Source organism: Homo sapiens, chromosome 12 (genome assembly GCF_000001405.40).
Source record: "Homo sapiens chromosome 12, GRCh38.p14 Primary Assembly".
NCBI classification, from domain to species: domain Eukaryota; kingdom Metazoa; phylum Chordata; class Mammalia; order Primates; family Hominidae; genus Homo; species Homo sapiens.
In genome coordinates this window covers 95,068,610-95,087,222 of record NC_000012.12, presented here as the reverse complement: position 1 = coordinate 95,087,222, position 18,613 = coordinate 95,068,610, and the positions used below count along the sequence as shown (strand labels likewise).

General features: G+C 41.5%; 2 protein-coding genes across 14 annotated transcripts in view, besides 4 other annotated features; both read left to right on the top strand.

Moving 5' to 3' along the window:
* Positions 1–10,474, top strand: part of FGD6 (FYVE, RhoGEF and PH domain containing 6) — a 140,719-nt gene extending 130,245 nt beyond the window's left edge. The window contains exons 19-21 of the mRNA NM_018351.4: positions 1,315–1,443; positions 2,577–2,725; positions 5,667–10,474. Of these exons, the coding sequence (NP_060821.3) occupies positions 1,315–1,443; positions 2,577–2,725; positions 5,667–5,703 (315 nt within the window). The 3' untranslated portion in view covers positions 5,704–10,474. The remainder of the gene's footprint in view (positions 1–1,314; positions 1,444–2,576; positions 2,726–5,666) is intronic.
* Positions 13,508–13,827: an enhancer, noted in NCBI's record as "active region_6805". NCBI's record gives its function as "activates an Ori minimal core promoter by ATAC-STARR-seq in GM12878 lymphoblastoid cells {active_cell/tissue: GM12878}" and the evidence as "EXISTENCE:reporter gene assay evidence [ECO:0000049][PMID:35858748]".
* Positions 13,508–14,187: a biological region, named in NCBI's record as "H3K27ac hESC enhancer GRCh37_chr12:95466981-95467481".
* Positions 13,518–14,018: an enhancer, noted in NCBI's record as "H3K27ac hESC enhancer chr12:95466981-95467481 (GRCh37/hg19 assembly coordinates)". NCBI's record gives its function as "activates a minimal SCP1, AML or CMV promoter by ChIP-STARR-seq in primed H9 embryonic stem cells {active_cell/tissue: H9 hESC(primed)}" and the evidence as "EXISTENCE:reporter gene assay evidence [ECO:0000049][PMID:30033119]".
* The window catches only part of NR2C1 (nuclear receptor subfamily 2 group C member 1), a 53,390-nt gene continuing 48,381 nt past the window's right edge, over positions 13,605–18,613 (top strand). For all 13 annotated transcript variants that reach the window (XM_047429495.1, XM_011538717.3, XM_006719584.3 and 10 more), the window contains exon 1: positions 13,605–13,843. The gene's annotated coding sequence lies outside the window, so the exon portion shown is untranslated. The remainder of the gene's footprint in view (positions 13,844–18,613) is intronic.
* Positions 13,908–14,187: a silencer, noted in NCBI's record as "silent region_4736". NCBI's record gives its function as "represses an Ori minimal core promoter by ATAC-STARR-seq in GM12878 lymphoblastoid cells {active_cell/tissue: GM12878}" and the evidence as "EXISTENCE:reporter gene assay evidence [ECO:0000049][PMID:35858748]".

Genomic DNA, 18,613 nt, shown 5'->3' with positions numbered 1-18,613 from the left:
ACCATTACTAAGGTAGATCCTAAACATTTTGTTATTTATCTACTCCTACATTTTTAAGAACACAGCTTTTAATAACCATTATTAGAGTCAATAGGCCAGGCACGATAGCTCATACCTGTAATCCCAGCACTTTGGGAGGCCAAGGCAGGCAAATCAACACCAACCTGGCCAACATGGCGAAACCCTGTCTCGACTAAAAATACAAAAATTAGCTGGACATGGTGGTGCACGCCTGTAATCCCAGCTACTCGGGAGGCTGGGGCACGAGAAGTGCTTGGACCCAAGAGGCAGAGGTTGCAGCGAGCTGAGATTGTGCCACTGCACTCCAGCCTGGGTGACAGAGTGAGACTGTCTTAAAAAAAAAAAAAAAAAAAAAAAGGCCGGTGTGGTGGCTCACGCCTGTAATCCCAGCACTTTGGGAGGCCAAGGCGGGTGGATCACAAGGTCGGGAGATGGAGACCATCCTGGCTAACATGATGAAACCCCATCTCTACTAAAAATATACAAAAAAAAAAAATAGCCGGACGTGGTGGCAGGCGCCTGTAGTCCCAGCTACTCGGGAGGCTGAGGCAGGAGAATGGCGTGAACCTGGGAGGTGGAGCTTGCAGTGAGCTGAGATCGGGCCACTGCACTCCAGCCTGGGTGACAGAGCAAGACTCAGTCTCAAAAAAAAAAAAAAAAAAAAAGAAAAAAAAAATCAATCAGTAAAAGCTTACTGTCTTTTTGCATAGAGATGAAAACATTTTCAACTTTTTATGAAGTAAAAATTAGCCTCTTTTCTTTCTTACTATAATTTGGGAAGCAAAGATTGATTCTTAAAATGAGCTTCCTTAATAGTAGAATTTTCTGTTTATTATTCTGTTTGTATGGTTTTTAGAAGTCCAAAAAGTTTTTTAGGAACAGAATTAAAGGTTCAAATAATTTTCCCTGATGCCCCAAAATAAGAGCAATAAAAAACAAATCCCCAAGTCCCCAAATCCAGCTTTTAGAAAAGCATTTTAGTCTTCTGGAACTATTTTTCTTCACCTGCCAACCCAGAAAACACAGATGAACCCACCAAGAAACATACGCAAACACGTGCAGGCACAGTTAAACCAAGTAAAATTCTATAATTGCCTCTAACATGGTTGTCTTCTTTTTTGTGCTCATGTTAATAGCAGAGTTCAATTTGTATAGTAGCACTTTGAAAATATATTTCATTCTGAAACATTCTATCATTACAGTTATTGCTTTCAGCACCTATTGGTTGCAAATAATTTTGCTGTTATAATTTGTCTGAAAACCATTAAACTTTGTATGGGGTTTCTTATCTAGGTATCAGCAAACACAGAGGATTCTTCTATGAGTGGCTACTTGTACAGATCAAAGGGCAATAAAAAACCCTGGAAACACTTTTGGTTTGTCATAAAAAATAAAGTACTATATACATATGCTGCAAGTGAGGTAAGATCTGAAATCTAAAGATGAGTAATTTGGGGTTTTGTAATGCCAACTGCAAGTAATTACAATATTTTAAAAATCCATTTATTTTACATAAGATTTTTTGCTTTGCTTTTGGATGGGGGAGGTGTTGTTGCTGTTATTTTTAATGTGAACAGTGTTCTTGCTTTGTACCTGGAGAGCTCTTTCTCAAATGTGTTAGGAATTTTCCATATTATTAAAATGCAATTTTTGTGTGTGTCGTGTGACTACTAATTACTTTACTAAAGGCAGAGCTGCCCCCAGGTGCACTGGCTCACACCTGTAATCCCAGCACTTTGGGAGGCTGAGTGGGGGTGGATCACCTGAGGTCAGGAGTTCGAGACTAGCCTGGCCAACATGGCGAAACCCCGTCTCTACTAAGAATACAAATATTAGTGGAGTGCCTGTAATCCCAGACACTTGGGAGGGTGAAGCAGGAGAATTGCTTGAACCCGGGAGGCAGAGGTTGCAGTGAGCTGAGATCGTGCCACTGCACTCCAGCCTGGGCAACAGAGAGACTCTGTCTCAAAAAAAAAAAAAAAAAAAAAGGCAGAGCTGTGTTTCTTTCTGCCAAGCTCTCTTGAGTGATACTCCCTTTACTGTCATCGTTAGATTGCATTGATCTGACAGCAGCATAGATAAGATAGGCTTTTTTGGATTATAAACAATTCTAGCAGTTTACTCTAATTCTGTCCTTTTCTCCTACCTGATCACCCTGTGTTCCACCATCCTATGAAAACACTGCTGTAGGGTCCACACTTTTCCTTAGTGAGATCCAGGTGAATAGCTTACCTTTCTGAGCTGTTTTCTGCATCCATAAAATGAAAGTAATATAATCACGTGCCTTCCTTGGTTTAGTGAGGATGTTGTGAAATTCAGTAGATGTGAACATGCCAGAAATTGTGTGCCACAGTGCCTGGCATATAGGGTACCTAGGGAGGGAGTGGCTCAATGAATATTATTGAATAAATGAGAAGTGAGTAAGTTGTTAGAATTATCATTACCTTATATGTGAATAATTGAAATTAAATTAGAGCTATGTAGATCAAGAGTTTTCAAATCTGAATTTTGTCTCAATCTAAAAACTTTTCTCCATTTGTATGTTTTTAAATTAGGACGTGGCCGCTTTGGAGAGTCAGCCTTTATTAGGATTCACTGTTATTCAAGTTAAAGATGAGAATTCCGAGTCTAAAGTATTTCAGTTACTGCACAAAAACATGTTATTTTATGTATTCAAAGCAGAGGATGCTCATTCGGCTCAGAAGTAAGTAATCTGGCCATATTTTTCTTTTATTCATGAGATTTCAGTTTTTTAATGGTTGCTTGTAAAATGACCTACTTTAAGGCATGGGGACAACTCAAAATTTACATCAGAGATTTTAATTAGAAAGATTTAACGTATTATTTAAACTCTTCAGAATTGTTTTAAAGACAAGGCAGGGGTATCTGGAATATTTTCAGGAGGCAGAGGGGAAAAGAAAATAGGTAGTCCTATACAAAGTATTTTATCTACACGTGATCTCAGAGGAAGCAGCGTGATGCTGCTCTGCTGAAAGGAAGGAAAGCTAAGGCATTTGACCTCTCCTTCTATGAGGGTAAGAATCTTCCCTTGAAACATTCCAGGACTTTGGCAATCCAGCGATTCATTTGTGCCATGGAACAGCAGGAGTTTAAACAGCTGCTCGCTAACTTCTTTGGGGAAAAGGTCAAACACATTAAGAGACTCCCATGCTGTTCCAGTGACTGAGTAGAAGGAAATGGCTATCAGTTTAGATGGCAAAGGCTGAAACAGTCTCCTCAGAATTCCAGCAAGAATCTTTACTTAGATGTTATCAGTTTGCTTAACATAGAGATGCGTATCTACCTCTGTGAAATTAGGTCTCTTTTGAACAAAATAGTTCATCATCTCTCATTTGATTTTTACCTTGGCTTCACAAAAGAATACATTTTTGTTTTCAGGAAGAGGTGTTCATGTGTTCTCCACAAGCTTAAAAGTGCATGAAAATAAAAAAGAATGCTTTGAGTGAGCAAAGCTTTTAGTTTCTTAAGACAGTTAAGATTAATGTACCAGAATTGCACACATCCCTGAATACCAGCCAGGCACAATGTTACACACACTCTGTAAGACTCTTTTTTCAGTCTATTTTAGGATATCCAACAGTATATAGCTATTCTTCCAAATATTTTCCTTTGGCTACTGGAGAATATTTTTAAATTATGTCACTTAACCATCTTTTCTATAAAAATTATTTAGACAAAATAGTAATTGCCCTAATATTGTCAGATATTAGCTTTCTTACAATTTTCATCAAACTGAAAAAAAGTACTGCTTTTCAATATATGTCATCTTTTGCTTATATCATTGAGTTGACAAGATAGAAATGCCACCAAGACAGAATTACATGTAGTTAGGTAAAGGAAGTCAGTTTACTTATAATTTAGAATTGACCCAGGCTAAATTATAAATTTCTCTTTATTAATATCATATGGATTGCTTTTTGAAGTACATGACAGAATATTAAAATGTATTAATTTTAGTGGGAAAAAAGCCTTGCTATGGCAGTATAACATGCTATTTATGTTCAATATTAAATTTTTGAAAATTCCTTAAAATTTGAACTGAATCTGTTATAGGTTGCTTTTACAAAATAATTAAACTGAGTGATTTCAAGTGTTCATAGTTCTCTGGACTCTCTTCTGTGTGTGTGTGTGTGTGTGTGTATGTGTGTGTATATATATATATATATATTTTTTTTTTTTTTTTTTTTTTTTTTTTTAATGGAGACAGAGTCTAGCAATGTTGCCCAGGCTGGTCTGAAACTCCTGGGCTCAAGCAGTCCACCTATCTCAGCCTCTCAAAGTGCTGGAATTACAGGTGTGAGCCACCATGCCCAGCCTACATAAAATAATACCGTAAGAAATGATATTTCCATAAGAAAGAAGAAAAAGTTCAGAAGCAATTACATTAGTAGGGAGGAAAAAGACTACTCTCAAGTATCTTCTGAATAATTGCAGCTGTGTATATTGTCAGATAAAACTTTGAGACTAAAGAATTTTGGAAAGATGTCTGTGAAACTTTGAGAAGCTCTTTTTTTTTTTTTTTTTTTGAGACAGTCTCGCTCTGTTGCCCAGGCTGGAGTTCAGTGGCGCAGTCTCAGCTCACTGCAACCTCTGCCTCCTGGGTTCAAGCAATTCTCCTGCCTCAGCCTCCCAAGTAGCTGGGATTACAGGCGCACACCACCACGCCCAGCTAATTTTTGTATTTTAGTAGAGACAGGGTTTCACCATATTGGCCAGGCTGGTCTCGAACTTCTGACCTCAGGTGATCTGCCCAACTCAGCCTCCCAAAGTACTGGGATTACAGGCATGAGCCACGGCGCCCAGCCGAGAAGCTCTCATACAGCATGCAAACTTTTGATCAACACTAGATGCCAGATTCCTTTTAATTGCAAATCTTGAAACAGGTCTGGATTAGGGGATATACAAGGAAACTCTGATAGCTAGAGTTAAGGTAGGAGGAGACAGGGAACTAGTGTTCCTAAAAGCACTGAGTCCAAATTCCAGATAAAAAAGAAGTTGTAATAAAGCCTTCACTGAAATATCAACTTCCAAAATAAATTAATTGGTAGCATCAAGACTTCATAGAACCTTTATACATGAAATGGTCCCTTCCTTATGCCTATCAGAAATGAGAGGCACACTTTCCAGGCTAAATTTTGGACCAAATTACCAAATAAAGGGTAGTTCCATGTATGCAGAAGGCCAATTTGCTGCAAGAAAAGATCTTACTGGCCGGTCACGGTGGCTCACGCCTGTAATCCCAACACTTTGGGAGGCCGAGGCAGGCCGATCACATGAGGTCGGGAGTCCAAGACCAGCCTGACCAACATGGAAAAACCCCGTCTCTACTAAAAATACAAAATTAGCCAGGTGTGGTGGCACATGCCTGTAATTCGAGCTACTTGGGAGGAATCGCTTGAACCCAGGAAGCAGAGATTGTGGTGAGCCGAGATAGCACTATTGCACTCCAGCCTGAGCAACGAGAGCAAAACTCTGTCTCAAAAAAAAAAAAAAAATACATATATATATATATCTTACCTATGTTGTTATGGTAATGAGGACCACAGGCCCAGCTGTCATCTATATGGTGTTCACACGTCAGATGATTAGGTTTTACAAATCTAACCGATTTCTCTTATCAATAGGTGGATAGAAGCATTTCAGGAAGGCACAATATTGTAGCAGTATTGGTTTCATCTCTTCTGTGATTCCAAAGAGGTGGAATTTCATCAGAATGGAGTAAATGCAATTCAAAAATTGTATAAAAATGAACACTGCCAAGATAAAGCCAACCAGACCCTTCATCAAAGAAATTGTTTTGTTAGGTATAAGCAATTTTTAAAAGGTGTTTGTTTTTTCATTTATGTTATTTATTAAAATTTTGATGTTTACTTAATGGTCAGAATTATTTCTGAGACACACTGAATTCTAAAGTACCATTTCTTTAGAGACCAGAAAAACTATCTTAATACTGTATACTGTATTAACTATTCGTGACATAGTTCACACTGTTTTCTTACCTTACATTGTAACAATCTTACTGGTGGAAAGTCTTTGTAAGGAAAAAACACATAGCAAGGAGCAAATTTCCACAAAGTGCTTGGTTTAGGAATTGTGATTATTATAAAACTGCTGATGAAAAAAATGCATGTCTTTGAATCAATAAACTTGGGTGAATATTTGTATCTTTTAGTGGAAAAACATGGCCAGCTTCTACCTCAGTAACTGTGAACTGAAATTTCAGTAAATTATCTAAAGTATTTCTGTTGTTAGGTACCTCTTTGGCAGGAGTTAATATTACATCATCAAAGAATTATAGCAAAGAGATAGAATCTGAATTTTTTAAAACTGTGAGTAGGAATGAAGATGTTTTTATTTGCAGAATACCACAAATAACCAACTCTTCCGGCTTTTAAGTCCAATCTTTTAAAAAATCTACCACTTCGAAACAAACATAAATGTATCATTTTTTAAAATAGCAAAATATAGCAAGCATTATGTCACATAATATTCCCTGCTATTATAAGAGTTCTGAGCCCAAGTCAATGATGATATTTGTATCTATAAGTAATGTTACATTTCCAAAAATATTGTGCATTACAAATGGAACTGGAATTACTATATCAGAAAAGCATAATTATAAGCCAGTAATAACTGAAATTCTATAGTATTCATTTTCAAAAGGTCTTTTTCTGCCAGTTTGTGATATCCTCCCTCCTAATTAAAAAAAAAAACAACAAATCCTTTCTCTATAAGCAGCTATCAGCACACCTCCTTAGGAAAGATTTAGATTCATAATTCTGGTGCACTTACTGTTTAACATATGAACTACCTTGCACATACAATTGTTGATTAGCAGAAGAAAATGAAATAACACTGTGATAAAAGCCATCCCTGATGTTCACAATACACAATTTATTAACTAAGTTTAAACTATAAATTATCTTAACTGCCATGAGCGGTGGCTCACACCTACAATCTCAGCATTTTGGGAGGCCGAGGCCGTTGGACCACCTGAGGTCAGGAGATCGAGACCAGCCTGGCCAATATGGTGAAACCCCATCTCTATTAAAAATACAAGAATTAGCCGGTCGTGGTGGTACATGGCTGTAGTCCTAGCTATTCAGCAGGCTGAGGCAGGAGCATCGCTTGAACCCAGGAGGCAGAGGTTGCAGTGAGCCGAGATGGTGCCACTGCACTCCAGCCTGGGATGACAGAGCGAGACTCCATCTCAAAAAAAAAAAAAAAAAAAAAATTGAACAGCAAGGTTATCCATATAATATTTCTTTAAAGGGTACAAGAATTTTCCTTTCTGCCTCTAAATAAAGGATTTCCTAATTCAGTGTGATCCTTAACAGCAACCATGAGGATTACTGAGTGCCTTTCTGGGGCCTTTTGAATGCTGTTTGGTACAGCACCAGAGTCCCTACTAGATCTAGAGTTGGCTGCTATAGTTTTTTGTGGCGATTTTTTGCCATGGAGTCATTTGAACCTCATACACAATCCTAACATGCCATCCCCTTTCTGTCATAGCAGGTACACTAAAATTTCTTTGTAGCTCAATTTTATATAATCAAGATCACATAAATAAGGCTTCCATGTTAGAATCGTTGCAGTTTTTAGTGTATTCCTTTTTGGAGGCTAAAGTTGTACCTTATAAACTGTTTCTGCGTCTGGCATTTAGCAAGACAAGTTATTTGGGTTTTCTTTCCCTCCTCTTGAGCTCTCAGCCTTCTGACTACAAGGTTTGGCTTAAGCCTTATAATCTAAAAAATATCAGCCAGGCTATTCTATCTTCTAAGACCTGGCTGAATCATGAGCCAGTTCTAAATCTAAAGAGAGTGAGAGAGGGAAGAAATCTGGCACAAACTTACAGTCTCTTTAATTACATGTAAAATGCATGTGACTGTATTACCTATTGGCTTAGCCCCATGGAGGGTTTAGAAAAATGTGTAGTCTTTGTGGAAGCTATCCAATTATCCTTCTCCCAAAAAGATGTTTTAAATGTGGAATAGTATTACATTCCCCTGCCCCTTTATGAGTCCTTCATAACTTACTAAAGCTGACCAATTGTTATTTATGTAACCTGGCTCATTCATTGTCAACTAAGAACCTAATTATATGCAATTTATTGTAAAAAAAGCTATAAAAATATATTTTGCTAGTATTTTAGAGGAAAAATGATATTGGGCACAGTCTATAAATGGGGAGAAAAGTTAAGTAGTATCTAGATTCCAAGGATACTATATTTATTATACAGATATGTGTGCCTGTGCTTCCATCAAACCCTTTTTCAGGTATCTCCTTTTAATTCATAAGGAGGAAAGAGTAGGGCATTTATAAAGCTAAGCTAAAAATGATGCTAAGCATAACGTAGATGAGACGCCAGGCTGAACCAGGGGAAGGCTGGCATTGTTAGTGTCCCCAACTAGCAGTCCACCTTTATCTGTGGCAGCTATAAATGTACAGGACCCATCAGAGTCCTAAGAAAATGAGAGTAATTATCTCTGGCATCATCCACATTTCCGACTCTTTCCAATCTCTTTTCCCTTTTTCTGTAATGTACCCAGCATCCCCCTATTGTATTTTGGTTGCCCAAGATTCTTGATTCTTTGAGTGTGTAGTAGCATTTCTTAAAATGAGATCATCAGACCAACCCTTGATTCACATGAAAGCTGTAATGACACAACAAAGAGAAGGCGACAGTTTTAAAGTATAATTGTCAGCCAAATGTGTATTTTATATTTGGTTCATAGAATATATCTAGATGTGGGGAAAGTCTCCTATTTGGTAATTTAGTTAAAATGTAAATGTTATATCACAGCATATGTTGGTATGTTTTGGAGTGTGCTTCCATTGTGCTCAGCTTTTGAAAAGTTTGAAATCCACTTTAGTCAAATGTAGTCAATGGGATTTCCAGAGATACATATTGTTTTTCTTAGTGTACCACACACTCCTTGAAGGCAGATACTGTACTTAATATATCACTGTCTTCCATAATACTGCCCTAGGTCTTTTTAGTTTTTAAGAGACCGGGTCTCGCTATGTTTCCCATGCTGAACTCAAATGCCTGGGCTTAAGCAATCCTCCCACCTCAGCCTCTGGAGTAGCTGGGACTACAGGGGCATGCACCACCAGGCCTGGCTTCCTAGGAGGGTCTTTAAAGAGAAAATATTTGTTCAATTGAAAACAGGATTCTTGTCATCTACAACTCCAACACAGCCTGAAAATATCCACATTATAACCTGGACCTTAGACCTACTTTCTCCACTATCCTGCAAAGCTACATCTGTAACTACCTATTGGCTATCTATATGAGTCCTCAAGCATCTCAGACTTTACATGAATAAAACTCAACTTCCTTCCCATTCAAATCTGTTTATTTTCTTCTGTAAGAGAAAGATACCATTTGAGACTCCAGAATCTGCCTCTAACTCTCAACAAGACTCTGCAATTACTCAAGTATCCTTTCCATCCTCATTGCCCTGCTGTTATTACATAGGCCCTGGTTCAAGTCCTTGTTACTTGTTCCCATTATTGCAATAACTTCTAATTCCAATGCCGTTGTGTGATCCCATTTTAAACACGGCCAGAGCAGTCTTCCAACAACATAGCTCTAATCTAGTTTCATCCCCACTTTTACATGCCTCAGTGGCTTTCCCAGTGACTTGGCATGGAACACGTCCTCAGTTGCCATACATTCCAGCTAACTCTTACCCAACCTTTCTTTGTTCACACAGTTTCCTTTTCCTTCCTCATTGACCCATCCGCATCTCTGTTTATCCAAGACTTCTCTGTGATAGCTGACCCTTAGTCTTTCTCTCCCCTATTCCTCCAGACTAGATCCTGTCTCCTTCCTGCAGCCCCGACACAGCCTTCAGTTCATATCTTTTGCATGATGCTTAGCACCTTCTATCCCTAAGGACAACTTACTCATTTGAGATTTCTGGCAGGGTACCTTGCATGCAGTGGACACTCAGTATTTGCTGAATTAAATTCCTTCCTATGGATCCCTTCTGATTTTTTTTAAGTGCCTCTAATACACATATCATTCTAGGGCTCATGCCACTTTTAATGTCATTTTCTAAAGGAAAATCTTATCTATGATATTTTCCCTTATAAGAGATAGTTGTTTTGAGTAGGGTTTTTTAAAAGATAAAGGTAGTAGGAAATTTTTTAAAGCCTAAATATCAAATTCCTTTCCCTTTGGAGTTGGGGGAAGGAATGAAGGGGGAGCAACTTGCTCTTTCATATGAGTTGGTCATAGCATGTAAGAACCAATCTTGAAATATCGTTTTTTTTTTAATGGCTTATAATGTATTTCTAGAAATACTTTGTACTTAAAATGATAACAGTTTGTATCTTTTTGTCCATATATACTTTATAAATAAAAAAATTAGCATTGTAAATAATGTTAATATGTATTTATACAAAATAAATTTACTATAATATATTTTGTTGGTGTGATTTTTTTCCCCCTCAAGACAGAGTCTTGCTCTGTCGCCCAGGCTGGAGTGCAGTGGCGCGATCTCGGCTCATTGCAATCTTCACTTCCTGGGTTCAAGCAATTCTCCTGCCTCAGCCTCCTGAGGAGCTGGGATGACAGGTGCGCACCACCATGCCCGGCTAATTTTTTGTATTTTTAGTAGAGACGGGATTTCACCATGTTGGCCAGGCTGGTCTCAAACTCTGACCTCAGGTGATCCACCCGCCTCAACCTCCCCAAGTGCTAGGATTACAGGCGTGAGCTACTGAGCCTGGCCAGCATCATAGATTTAAAGATGAACTTCGGCTAGAGTCACACATTTAAAGATGAACTTCGGCTGGGCACGGTGGCTCATGCCTGTAATCCCAGCACTTTGGGGAGGCCAAGGCGAGCGGATCACTTGAGGTGAGGAGTTCGAGACCAGCCTGGCCAACATGGTGAAACCCTGTCTCTACTAAAAATACAAAAAGCTTAGCCAGACATTGTGGTGTGCGCCTGTAATCCCAGCTACTCGGGAGGCTGAGGCACAAGAACCTCTTGAACCCAGGTGGCGGAGGTTGCAGTGAGCTGAGATCAAGCCACTGCACTCCAGCCTGGGCAACAGAGTGAGACTCTGTCTCAAAAATAAATAAACTTCATTTACCTCTTTTCCTGAAGCATAATTAATGGAAACGCTTCTTCACCTACAAATGATGTTCCTAAAATGGCTTCTACTTCCAAGTTTTAACAAGTCAACTTATTGTGACTTAAGTGAATTAATTGGGTGATAAGGGGTAACCACAAGCATCACTATAGGCATACATATTCTCCACCAAGAATAGTGAAGAGGTCTCAGATTGCCTGTATCCATTAGGCCTATAGTGCAGTCATGCACTGCATAACAATATTTCAGTCAAGGACAGACCACATATACAATAATGGTTGCATAAGATTATAATCCCCTATTTTTACTGCACTTTTTTTTTAAAAGGACTTAGTTTACTTTTTCTATGTTTATATATATTTAGATACACAAATACCTACCATTATGTTACAACTGCCTACAGTATTCAGTAACATGCTGTACGGGTTTGTCCTAGGTTTGTGACTTAAGAGCAACAGACTACAACATACAGCCTAGGTGTGTCTAGGCTAGACCATCTAGGTTTGTATAAGTACGCTCTATGATGAGAGTAAAATGAAATTGCCTAAGGACTCATTTCTCAGAACATATCCCTGACGTGACTATACTTTCATAATTTTCACCTTTGGGACCAGCTTATGGTATTGGCAGGGGTCTCCCTTAAAACCAAACCAAATACACAACAAATAATGCTAAAAGGTAGAGGTTGGAAAAAAAAAAAAGTTTCACTCTCGCCCAGGCTGGAATGCAATGGTGCCAACACTGGACCAGACTCCTGGGCTTAAGCAATCCTCCCACCTCAGCCTCCTCAGTAACTAGGAATACAGGCCTGCACCACCATGCCTTTTTTTTTTCTTTTTTTTTTAAGAGATGGAGTCTCACTATGTTGCCCAGGCTGGTCTCAAACTCCTGGCATCAAGCAAGCCTCCTACCTCAGCCTCCCAAGGCTCTGGGGGCAGAAGCCACTGTGCTCAGCAGAGGTGGATTTTTAATGAGGGATAAAGCATATTTTTACTTGTTAGGGATTGTTTCATGCCTTGATCTCTGTCCGTCTGCCTAGTTCCAGAGAGAAATAACAGAGATGTTCTCATTCCCAGCAAACGTTTGTTTTTCCTTCCTTGGATTTCTGCCCTGAGTTTGTGGCTGCTTTCCTACAGTGCCGACCTAAGCTAGATAAAATAGAAATTTCATGACAAAACAAAGGAGATTTAAAAAAAAACTAGAAATTTCAAGAATGCTTCAAAATCTAAAGCGCAGAGTACTTTGCACACAGGGCAGTTATTCCTGCCACACCTTGCCACTACAGGTGGCCACTGTCAGAATGCGATGTTCCACCAATGTCTCTTCATTTCACAATTTGAAAAATTTTTTTTGTGGAGGCAGGGTTTTGTTATCTTGCCCAAGCCGGTCTCCAACTGCTGGCCCCAAGTGATCTTTCCTTGGCCTCCCAGCAGCCACTTGCCTGGCTTTCATTTCATACATCATTATTGAATAGCAGGCATTGTCCTATGTGCTTGGTAATACATCACTGAGCAAAACAGACAAAAAACGGCCATTGAGGATAATCCTCAATATATAATAATATATATATTATAGAGAGGATGTGGAATATACATATATATGTGTGTGTGTATATATAGAGAGAGAGAGAAAGACTCATTGTGTCACCCAGGCTGGAGTGCGGTGGTGTGATCTTGGCTCACTGCCGTCTTGACTCAGGTGATCCTCCCACCTCAGCCTCCAAGTAATTGGGACGACAGGCACGCGCCACCAGGACTGGCTAATTTTTTTGTAGAGACGGGTTTTCGCCATGTTGGCCAGGCTGGCCTCAAACAACCGGGCTCAAGTGATCCGTCCGCCTCGGCCTCCCAACTTGCTGGGATTACAGGCGTGAGCTACCGTGCCCAGTCTCTAGTGATTATATTCTTGCCCTGTTTAGCCATTATGTCTCTTTACTCACAACAGTTTATAAGTGAAACTTTGCCTTACCATTTGCATGAGTCGGCCTCAGCTTGTCATTATATATAAAGCTTACTAATGTAAATGACGAGTTAATGGGTGCAGCACACCAACATGGCACATGTATACATATGTAACGAACCTGCACGTTGTGTACATGTACTCTAGAACTTAAAGTGTAATACAAAAAAAAAAAAGTTTAAATATGATTGGACTCTACCCCAGAGCCCAGTTTTCCAGAAATTAGAAACAGATATGCCTAAGACCCAGAGGGTTATTTATTACTCAAATCTAAAACGTTGACTCAAAACCTCCCCTAATGCCCACCTTTGGCAAACGATGCTTAAACCTTTGCACGTGGCTTCAAAAATTACCTGGCTGGGAACGCGTAGCTCTGGCGGGGCACTCTGCCTCCAAGCCAAAAGGGGGCAGTGGACTCACAGAGCCGCTGCTCGGCCCTCCGATCCCTCCACCCCACCCTGGGAACGTCACGACCTCCTCTCGCCGCTTCTCCCCGTTGCTAATGCGCAGGCGCTGGCGGGATAGCGCGCCGCCGAGCCGAGAAAGAGGTCACGAACTCTGACCCCCCAGAAATACCCAAACACAGAAAGCTCTCTCCGCCGTGAATCTCGATCCCACATCCCGTCGGCTTTCTTCAACCTCTCTTCCCGGAGCGCCCCCCAATCCACGAGTGGCAGCCGCGGGACTGTCGCGTCGGCGCCCGACGCCGGAGTCAGCAGGGCGCAAAAGCGCCGGTAAGAAACGCTGGGTGGGGACACCAGCGACCGCGTCGGGGGCGGGGGCCAGGGGGTGCCCTTCACCCCAACCGCCAACGGACGCGGTCCCAGCGCATCCCCCGGCCGGCGTCCTGCGGCCAGCGGAGCCGTTCAGTTTGGGAGCGCCGCTTGGGGCTGCTCGACTTCGGCTGGGAGCGCGGAGCTGCGGCGCCAAATGCGCGGGGCCCCGGGAGAGGCGGGGGCGACAGGGGCGGCGGGACGCGGGGCCGGACGGCGAGCGGCTTGGAGCACACAACCCCCTTTCCAGCTGCGCTTACCGCAGCGCCTCTGACCTTTAACCTGCAGGGAAAGCTTCCGCGGCGCTGCAGCTTTCCCCGCCCGGGAGAGCCGCGCGCAGCGCCGGGGCTTCCAGGGCGCACGGCTAACGCCGGCACGAGTGAGACGTGGGAGAGGCCGACCCTCGGCTAGTGGCCGCAAGTCCCGGCCTGCATCCCGTCACTAACTCCCGTGCTTTCACGGGACGGACAGAATGACTCCCCCCACTTTCACTTTTCTCTCACGGCAAATCTGGCCAGGGTCGTCGCTGCCTGTGGGCCTGGATCTTTTCAGAAGAAATGGAACGGCCCCAGGGTTCTCACTGCAGGGGGCATGTCCAAGCTTCCGATAGATAGCTCTTTTGTTAAGAAATAATTCTTCCAACTCGGGCAGATACCATTTTTGTGCAGTACGAATGTTGCCAGGTTGTCCCATAATCTTCAGTAAGTAGGTCAGCCTTTAAAAAAGTAACCGGAAAGCAAAAGCAGAAAGACCTAAAATTACGGCCTTTAGGGTTTAGTACCGCTAGAATTTGTAAATGGACCTTCGATTTTGAGCTTTTTTGAACCATTTCTGCTGTGTGGTTGGTGATACTCGATTTTTTTTTCTTTTTTTTTTTTTTTTTTTGAGAGGGAGAGGGAGTCTCACTGTCGCCAAGCTGGAGTGCGGTGGCGCGATCTCGGCTCACTGCAACCTCCGCCTCCAGGTTCAAGCGATTCTCCTGTCTCAGCCTCCCGAGTAGCTGGGATTACAGACACGAGCCACCACACCCAGCTAGTTTTTTTGTTTTTGTTTTTGTTTTTGTTTTTTGTATTTTTAGTAGAGGTGGGGTTTCACTATGTTGGCCAGGATGGTCTTGATACTCTGACCTCGTGATGTACCCGCCTCTGATCCACCCGCCTCGGCCTCCCAAAGTACTGGGATTACAGGCGTGAGCCACCGCGCCCGGCCGATGATTGTTTTTAAACTTTGCTTTAAGTCCAGTTAGTATATCTGAAAAAGCGATGTGTATTTCTATCATTAAAAGTGGGTCGCGGCTGGGCGCGGTGGCTCACACCTGTAATCCCAGCACTTTGGGAGGCTGAGGTGGGCGGATCATCTGAAGTCGGGAGTTCGAGACCAGCCTGACCAACATGGAGAAACCCCGTTTCTACTAAAAATACAAAATTAGTCGGGCGTGGTGGCGCACACCTGTAATCCCAGCAACTCCGGAGGCCGAGGCAGGAGAATTGCTTGAACCCGGGAGGCGGAGGTTGCAGTGAGCTGAGATCGCGCCATTGCACTCCAGCCTGGGCAAGAAGAGCGAAACTCCGTCTCAAAAAAAAAAAAAAAAGTGGGTTTTATGAAATGTTGCTAATCTTAGTTTTTCAAGGGGCATGTTAGTTTCTTCTAGGAAAGGTTTTTTTGTTTTGTTTTATAGAAATGGTGGGGGGCCTCATTTTGTTATCCAGACAGATCTCTGGCCTCAAGCTATCCTCCTGCCTCAGCCTGTTGAGTAGCTGGAATTACAGGCACCGCATCTTAAGGAAGGATTTTGAGGGAGCAAACATCCCCAAACACACACCGTCTGTGTGTCTGCCACACAATGTATAATCCCTACTCTTGGGGAATAAAAACAAAACAGCATACAATAAATAATAGTATAAATATAATTCGTTGCCGTTTTTCAGTGACAAGACCATCTACAGCCTCTTGAAGTCTTTTATGAACTTGTCTAGAAAAATGCACCTTTAGATAAAATTTTACAGACAGTATTAGGAGTTAACAGAAATCTATTTCTGAATCCTAGCTAACAACCTTAGTCTACAAAATAATTGTTCGACCCTTCAAGAAAGACTGGGTAAAAAACTATTTGAATCAAAATTTTTTTTTTTTTTTTTTGAGACGGAGTTTTGCCCTTGTTTCCCAAGCTGGAGTGCAATGGCACGATCTCGGCTCACTGCAGCCTCCACCTCCCAGGTTCAAGCGATTCTCTTGCCTCAGCCTCCTGCATAGCTGGGATCACAGGCGCCGTCCACCACACCCGGCTAAATTTTTGTATTTTTCGTAGAGATGGGGTTTCACCATGTTGGCCAGGCTGGTCTTGGACTCTTGACCTCAGGTGATCCACGTGCCTTGGCCTCCCAAAGTGCTGGGATTACAGGCGTGAGCCATCGCCCCTGGCTTGAACCAAATCTTAAAAGTCAGGTGGAATTTAAATGAGGGAGAAAGTAGGAATATGTTGGGGGAATAAAGAACATCGTAGTTTGACCTGAACAGAGGCCCCTCTTGGGAGTGATAGGAAATGAGAATAGGGGGAAGTCGGATTATAAAAGAACTCTCCATTGTGGTGTTCACAGTGCCAGGCACCTTGTGAATGCATAATAAATATTGAATGAATACCAAGGGAAGGGGTTAAAACTTTGTTCCCTTGCCATTAAAGCAGCACTGATGGTCTGAAGCTGGAGAATAAGGATAAGTCGTTCTGTGAATGCCTGGCCCCTAGTAAGCATTCAACAAGTGATTTGTTGAATGGAAGAAAATTGAATAAATTTTTGAGCCAGTCAATATGAACATTTTTAAGGCTCTTGGTATACATTGGCAAATTACTTTTCTAGGAAGGTTAAAACAGTCTAACCTTCCACCAACAGTGTATAAAGAATGTGTGTGTTGGCTAGGTGTGGTGGCTCATACCTGTAATCCCCACACTTTGTGAGGCTGAGGTGGGCGGATCACTTGAGATCAAGAATTCGAGACCAGCCTGGCCAACATGGTGAAACCCTTTCTCTACTAAAAATACAAAAAGTACCTGGGCATGGTGGTGCATGCCTGTAATCCCAGCTACTCGGGAGGCTGAGGCAGGAGAATTGCTTGAACCTGGGAGGCAGAGGTTGTAGTGAGCCGAGATTGCACCACTGCACTCCAGCCTAGGTGACAGAGCAAGATTCTGTCTCAAAAAAACAAAAAACAAAAAACAAAAAAAACTTGTAAATTTTACTTTTGTATTGGCTACTCAAGGCCAGTTTATCAGGCTGGATCCTATTTGAAGTTGGGAAGAATGGGAAGAAAACAGACACTGCTATCAGAGCAGCCTTAACTTACACCATTACTTACCTACTTCTTTCTCATCTCTTCAGGGTAGAGACCATCTTTATTATCCTATCCCAGGGTCAGGCATAGATCCTGGAAGACATCAGGGACTCAATCAACTGAAAGGTGTAGTTAGGGAAAGGGAGAGTTGCTTTTTTTTTATAAGGTTGAGAATCCCCATGCAGTAGCAGCAGTGAGTGTTGGATGGATGGATGGATGCATGCATGGATGCATAGATGCATGGATGGATGGATTAATGTTTAAAAGCATTTTTTTTCAGTCATCCAGTCACAAAATTATGGGGGAAAAAAAGGAATGTGTGTGTTGCCTTATCTTCGGAGTTAAATTTAGTCTTGGAAAATATAGTCATATGTTATGGGGATGTGTTCTGAGAAAAGCATCCCTAAGTGATTTTATCACAGATGAACATCATAGAGCATACTTACACAAAACTAAATGGTATAACTTACCATACACATAGGCTATACAGCATAGCCTGTTGCTCTTAATTTACAAACCCACACAGCATGTTACTTTAGTGAGTACTGTAGGCAGTTTTAACACAGTAGTATTTATGTAAGTAACAAATCTAAACGTGGAAGAGGTGTAGTAAAAATACAGTGTTATGGGTGTAAACTTGTGGTACCGCTATTGTATATGCAGTCTCATTCATTGACTAAAACATTGTGCAGTACATGACTATATATTGATCTAATGAGTCCCTGGAATTCATTCAGATAAACAAATAGTTTATCTCCCTAAGTTTTCATTAGGAGGTGACTTCTTTGAGTCTAATGCACCAATACACTGGTGTTGATTTTAGGATTTCTGGAAGAGATTTCTTATTTGTTTATTACTTTAATTTTTGTGGTAATCCTTGTATTTAAGCAAAATTTAAAAGCATCAAACACTTATTCAATGAAAAATAAGTCTCCCTTCCATTCCTGTTTCCAAACTTGCAGTTTCTTTCCTTGGAGGTACTTATTGGATCCATTTTCTTTCTTATGTGTCCTTTTAAGATGTAGTTTTTCTTTTTCTTTTTTTTTCTTTTGAGACAGAGTCTCTCTCTGTCACCCAGGCTGGAGTGCAGTGGCACGATCTTGGCTCACCACAGCCTCTGCCTTCCAAGTTTATGGGATTCTTCTGCCTCAGTCTCCTGAGTAGCTGGGATTACGGGCACCCGCCACCATGCCTGGCTAATTTTTTTTTTTTTTTTTATGAGACAGAATTTCACTCTTGTGGCCCAGACTGGAGTGCAATGGTGCAATCTCGGCTCACCGCAACCTCCGCCTCCCAGGTTCAAGTAATTCTACTGCCTCAGCCTCCTGAGTAGCTGGGATTACAGGCATGTACCACCACACCTGGCTAATTTTGTATTTTTAGTAGAGATGGCGTTTCACCATG